This window comes from Homo sapiens, chromosome 3, assembly GCF_000001405.40.
Source record: "Homo sapiens chromosome 3, GRCh38.p14 Primary Assembly".
In the NCBI taxonomy this organism is placed as follows: Eukaryota; Metazoa; Chordata; class Mammalia; order Primates; family Hominidae; genus Homo; species Homo sapiens.
In genome coordinates, this window is record NC_000003.12 from 23,701,684 (window position 1) to 23,705,733 (window position 4,050).

At 44.9% G+C, this 4,050-nt stretch overlaps 1 annotated feature.

Moving 5' to 3' along the window:
- Nucleotides 329-941: an enhancer, noted in NCBI's record as "OCT4-NANOG-H3K27ac hESC enhancer chr3:23743503-23744115 (GRCh37/hg19 assembly coordinates)". NCBI's record gives its function as "activates a minimal SCP1, AML or CMV promoter by ChIP-STARR-seq in primed H9 embryonic stem cells {active_cell/tissue: H9 hESC(primed)}" and the evidence as "EXISTENCE:reporter gene assay evidence [ECO:0000049][PMID:30033119]".

Here is a 4,050-nt window from a genome sequence, read left to right on the forward strand (position 1 = left end):
ATCTGCCAAGTTTGCTTAGGAAGCCACACTCCTGGACCCTGGCAGGCTGTCTGGGCAGCTTCCTCACAGCCATGAATCCATCTGGGCCTCCCCTGAGCCCCCTGTGAACAATGGGTGGGGGGTGCCCAGACTGTTGAGAGGAATCTTCTTGCCAGGACCACAAAGAAGGTTTGCTTGAAAACGTACGGTAGCATCATGCCATTCACCCGTCCTCCCCCGGGGCCATAAACAGGTGTTTAATTACAAGGCAGGTGGGAGACTTCAGAACCAGGGGTCAGCCATTCCATTGTTTGTGGAACTTCGTTACCAGAGAGCCACTAGATTGCACCGAAGATTGGCCGTGCACCTGGCAATTTGTGTTTCTCTGCTTGAGCTGAGTTGCTACACTGTTGAGAAGGAAACTTTTTTCTTGAAAAAGAGAAAATGTCAAGGGGGATAGCTGGCAGTGATTCTGAGAAAGTATAGTTTATCACTCAGCAGCAATGTTTAGCCAGTTCTGAAGGAGAAACATGTACTGGGCTGGGATCATGGAGTCCTAGCCTAATTTCTAGAACTGACATTCCTGGAGGACCTACTATGTGCCAGGTACTTTACACGTGATGTCATTGAGTCCTCAGCCCTGTAAGGAAGTGTTAAGGAAATTGCTGCTTTCAGCAAGCAGATCACCCAGAAGCTCCCAGGTTGATTCCAGACGGAGAGGGGCACCTCCATCAAAATTCCTTACTCCTGACTCACTGTTGTCACTGGCATCCTAGCATCTTTAGAAGTGGGGCTCCTCTGATCCTCAGCCTTCCTGTTACTCCTGTGTAGCTGAGACAAGCCTAGAATGTTCAAATAAGAGGGACTCAGTCAAGAAATGCAAAAGGAAAATAGAATTACAGGAACCTAGAAACTGTGGCTTACAGGATGCAACCTATTTGATGGAACTCATAGTCACTTCTATAGAAAAAGATGGCACCTACTGTTTTCCCTTCTGTTCCCTCTTGGGTCCCCATTTGTTCATTCATTCATGCACTCACTTGCTCAAACAATATTTATTAAGGAGCTACTATGTGCCAGATACTGAAAATATAGCTTTGAACCAGACAGATAAGTCCCTGCCCTCCTAGAACTTTCATTCAGCTGGGGAGACAGATAAACAGATGTATAAATACATACATAAAATAATCTCTGATGGGGACAGGTAGTATTGGGAAAATAAAGTAAGGTGATGTGGTAGAAAGGAATCTTTGAAAGTCTTTACTAGCCAGCCATTTAAAAGCAATGTTCTCACAATTATTATACACACACATGTATATATGTGCACATGTACACACACACATATGTATATATGTGCACATACACACATATAGTCATCCCTCAGTATACTCAGGAAATCAGCGCCAGGGCCCCCACATACACCAAAATCAGTGAGCCCTCCATATAAGCAGGTTTCACATCCCTCAAATACTGTATTTTTGGTCTATGTTTAGTTGAGACAAATCCATATATAAGTGGGCCCATGCAGTTGAAAGGCATGTTGTTCAAGGGTCAACTGTACATGTATACATATATACGCATGCATGTGTATGTATACATGCATGCATATATATGTAATTATATCTATTTTATAGATGGGAAATTGAGGCTCAGACAGGCTAAGTGACTTGGTTAAAATCACAGTGGCAAAGTTCCCTCAAGTTTCTCTATAGAGCCACAGGTTTTCTCACTGTATCCTGGTGCCCAGATTGTCTTGTTAAGGGTATGCTTGGACCCCTCCAGCTCTGTGAAATGCAACAGGCTGGATTAGCCTATGGCATCCCGCTCACCTAGGCACAGTGGCATAGAGCCTCTTGATGGTGACAACAGCTGCTGAGGATTTGTGTCATCTGAAAACCGAAAGGCCTCCAGGGAGACTGAATAAATCAGAGACCTATAGATAAGGTAGGGATGCTTAGCTAGGGCCTTAAGCACAATCCATGTTCAATAAAAGTTGGTGATGCTCCTATGTTCCCTGCTCAGAGCCATCTACTTCCACCCCTTCCTCCCTTCTCATAACAAAATAACAGATCGTGCTTTCTTAACCTCAGAGTGGCCCATCATAGGAAGCACAGTGATGTCCAAAGGCAGAAATTCAACCCAACCCAACCCATCGATTCTCTCTCCCAGGAATCTGAAACATGAGTGGGGGTCTCCCAGATTTCCCAAGTGCCTGGAATTGTGAATGAAGGTCTGAAATGTCCTACAATATTTATCATTCCTGTCCTTGCTAAGACAGGAATTTTCTTTAAATTACAAAAGCTACCTGTCATATAGTTTAAGCAAGCCAAAGGCAGTTTCTGTTGCTTGCAACCAAGAGAGTACCAAATAATACATAAAGCTATAGTGTAGTGGTCAGTCTAGCAGACAAAAAAAAAACCAATACATAATCACAAAATGTGATAAAGTACCAGGACAAAAAAAGAACAAGGAGCTTGGAAAGACTAACAAGGGAGGCCAGTTTTAGACTGGGTGATCAGGGAAAAGAGTTTAGGGGGATTATATTTAAATTGGAACCTTAAATATAGGGAGTCAGTCATTGAAAAGAGTGGAGGAAAGACTATTGAGGCAAACAGAAAGCATGGAAAAATATCCTGGAGCCGGGAAGAGCTGGCTCATTCCAGAGACAAAGGAAATGAGTGGGGCTGGAGCCTGTGGAGAGAAAGTTCATTTCTGAGAGGATCCAGTGCAGTTTTCCTCCTCTTGGTTGAAGTGGTGGATGTCTACAGTTTTTTTCCTCAAAAGTGGGCAAAATGCATCTTAGCATTTAGCTGTACCATTGTGTGTGTGTGTTGCACAATAACATGGAATCTCAATTGGGAACAGGCAAGTTTCTTTTCTTTTCTTTTTTTTTTTGAGACGGAGTTTCGCAATTGTTACCCGGGCTGGAGTGCAATGGTGCCCTCTCAGCTCACACAACCTCCACCTCCCAGGTTCAAGAGAGTCTCCTGCCTCAGCCTCCCGAGTAGCTGGTATTACAGGCACATGCCACCACACCTGGCTAATTTTGTATTTTTAGTAGAGATGGGGTTTCTCCATGTTGGTCAGATTGGTCTTGAACTCCCGACCTCAGGTGATCCACCCACCTCGGCCTCCTAAAGTGCTGGGATTACAGGCATGAGCCACCACACCCAGCCTTCTTTTTTCTTTTCTTTTTTTTTTTAAGATAGGGTCTTGCTCCGCTGCCCAGGATGGAGTGCAGTGGCATGATCACAGCTCACTGCAGCCTTGAACTCCTGGGCTCAAGTGATCCTCCCACCTTAGCCTCCCAAGTAGCTGGGACCAACAGGCACGTGATACCACACCCGGCTAATTTATTTTTTATAGAGGTGAGGTCTACATCTCTACAGGCTGTTGCCCAGTGGCTGTTGCCTGGGCTCAAGTGATCCTCTTGCCTTGGCCTCCCAAAGTGCTGGGATTACAGGTGTGAACCACTGTGCCTGGCCAAGTTATTTTTCCATATCATATGATTTTAGCACCTGCTTACAGGAACCACTGGTAGACTAAGAACTTAATTTCTTCAGTATTAACTTGGATAAATCAGATAATAAAAAAATGTGTCCTGGGCTTTGGTAGATTCTCGACAGCCTGGGCATATAGCGGTGTGTGTAGTAGGTGGTGGAGGAAGATGGGAATGTGTAGAGGCAGGATGCTGGAGAGAACTCTTTCCTACCTGCACCCTCCCTGCCCACTCCTGGTCAGTTCAATGCCTGGGGACGTATATTAGTTATCTGTTGCTGTGTAGCAAATGACCACACATGTAGCAGCTCAAACAACATCCACTTATTAGTTTACAGGTCTGTGGGTTAGGAGTTGGGCACAGTGTGGCTCGGATCTTGCTGAAGGCATCACAAGGCTAGAATCCAGGTATTGGTTGGCATGTTTCTCACCTGAGCCTCATGATCCTCTTTCAAGCTCACTGGTTGTTAGCAGAATCCATTTCTTTATGGCTATAGGACTAAGGTTTCCATCCACCTCTCTTCATTGGTAGTTCACAGCATGAATGTTTGCTTTTCTCCAGCCAGCTGGAAT